Source organism: Homo sapiens, chromosome X (assembly GCF_000001405.40).
Source record: "Homo sapiens chromosome X, GRCh38.p14 Primary Assembly".
Taxonomy (NCBI): domain Eukaryota; kingdom Metazoa; phylum Chordata; class Mammalia; order Primates; family Hominidae; genus Homo; species Homo sapiens.
This window is the reverse complement of record NC_000023.11, coordinates 46,474,640-46,477,246: the sequence shown is the minus strand read 5'-3', so window position 1 is coordinate 46,477,246 and position 2,607 is coordinate 46,474,640.

Genomic DNA, 2,607 nt, shown 5'->3' with positions numbered 1-2,607 from the left:
TGCTGGCCTGGCAATACCAACTACAATATACATGGAAATGAGGGTCTGTTCTTATTCAACATTTAAATCCAAGACAAAAATGAGAAGATACTAAATTACCACATAAGATGTTCCCTCCTCTCTTCCACTGGGTGAGGTGTAGAGGGATGAAAGACATCGTAGAGGAGCACAGATTGGCTGCATGGAGCCACACGGAATGTGTATCAGTGGCTAATGTTGCTATACTTCTTGTTTTCCATGAGTTTTAAGTAAACTCCTTATGATTTTGCTTTTTCATCTATAAAATATCAGAAGGTATGTCTGATCAGTGGAGGTGGGACTGTCATTGTCTTCCCTCTTAATAGTGTTACCAAGACAATCAGTGGAATTCATCAATGTAATGCTTTTATAAAATGAAAAGCCTTTACTTTCATAACAAATCAATATTAAGATATACTCACCACAGTGCATTTTGTGAGCTGGTGATAGGGAATACGGAAAAAAGAGGAAAAGAGAAAATAGTTATCCAATAGCAATCACCAGTATCAGAATTTATATTTGGTTTCTGGAGATTTGGGTTTTCGTCAGTTTGTTCTTATTACCCATGGGACCTTGAGTTACTCACTACAGTGTTTTCTCATATGTAAAATCTGGTATCTTCCAATTTAGGTCACAGGATTTGTGAGGATGAAGTGTAAAAGCAAGATAATGTTTTAGCTCTCATTAGAAAATCACTCTCCAAGTTAAAATCATAAGAGATACTTTCTCAAAGTTGTAGAATATATTCTTCTAACAATGAGATCAAACAGACAACCACATGGAAAATAGAGTATGTGTAGACATGTCAAAGTGGGATGATGTGTGCAGAACAGAAAGTAGCAGAGTAGTGTAATATATTGAAAATAAAACTGAATAGAAAAATAAGGAGGGATAAAGAAAACTATATAAAAGACATTGTAAATAATCCTTCTTGGTAGTTTCTTGAAATTTGAGAGTATAATCAGAGGCATTAAAAATCAATAATTTTTGTTCTAAATATAACTATTAATAGAGGGTGTAGTTTCTTCCTAGCTTTTTTTGTGTGTTTCTCTCCACATGTGAGAATAAACACATAGACAAGATAGAAAGGTAATATAAATATATACATATGTATCTAACTTTTTACTAATAAAAAATTTGCCTATATTCCTACAACCCAGAGACACTGAACTCATAATGGTGCATATCGCATATCCTTTTTCTTTTTTTTTTGAGATGGAATGTCACTCTGTTGTCCAGGCTAGAGTGCAGTGGTGCGATCTCAGCTCACTGCAACCTCCGCCTCCTGGGTTCAAGGGATTCTCCTGCCTCAGCCTCCCGAGTAGCTGGGATTACAGGCCCATGATGCCACGCCTGGCTAATTTTTGTATTTTTAGTAGAGATGGGGTTTCGCCATGTTGGCCAGGCTGGTCTCCAACTCCTGACCTCGGGTGATCCGCCTGCTTCGGCCTCCCAAAGTGCTAGGACTGCAGGAGTGAGCCACCACGCCCAGCCATATCCTTCTTATATATGCCATTTTACAACACAAATCATAAAGTAGTTTTATAGTCTTAGTTTACTATGAACATTTTCCACACTCCTTAAAATATGAATACATTAATGGAAGCATGATTCCAATTTATGAATATATCAACTCAATCACCTATTACTGGATATTCAAGTTGCTTATTTTTATTTCAATTAATACTGCTCTTACAGGATCTTTCCACCATAATTACTTTTTTAAGAGAGAATAATAAATTTTGACTTTTCAAAGAAAAGTATCCCAGAAGAGTATAACCTTTCTCCATAAGATGCTTCCACTTTTGTACTGATGATAGATAAAATACATGTGCAAGGTCTATTTGGCAATCCTGCTGGCTCATGTGCTCTCAAACTAATCTATTTAGGGATTATCTATTTACGGATAATCTTGGAGATTGGTCTAGTAAGGATTAATATTTTTTTCCTCTGCCCTCCTGATTAGAAAATATATTTATACTTTCAGAAGCTTTTAAACCTATTCTACAGAGAATATGTGTATTATTTATAATTGAGTGCTTGACTGTAACCACTGCGATCTTTTCTATAAAATGGATGATGACATATCTGAGACATGACTTTCCTTATATTATATAGGAAAGCTGGGTTATCAAATTGATTAAATTGATGTTTCCTGAATGTAAGTGCTCTGATATAAGATGACACCTCACTTCTTTCCGAAGGCATTCCAGTGTTTGCTAGCTTCATGGTTTCGACCCTTCATAAATTATTTGATGTACAATGTTACTAAAACTCATGGGTAAGGAATTTATCATTTATTGGCTCACACCTGTAATCCTAGCACTCTGGGAGGCTGAGGTGGGCAGAACACTTGAGCCCAGGAGTTCGAGACTAGCTTGGGCAACACGGCAAAATCCCATCTAAAAAAATACAAAAATTAGCTGGGTGTAGTGGTGGGTGCCTGTAGTCCCCACTACTCGGGAGGCTGAGGTGGGAGGATAACCTGAGCCTGGGAAGTCGAAGCTCTGATGAGCCGTGATCATGCCACTGCATCCCAGCCTAAGTGACAGAGCGATAACCTGTCTCAAAAATAAATAAATAAATAAA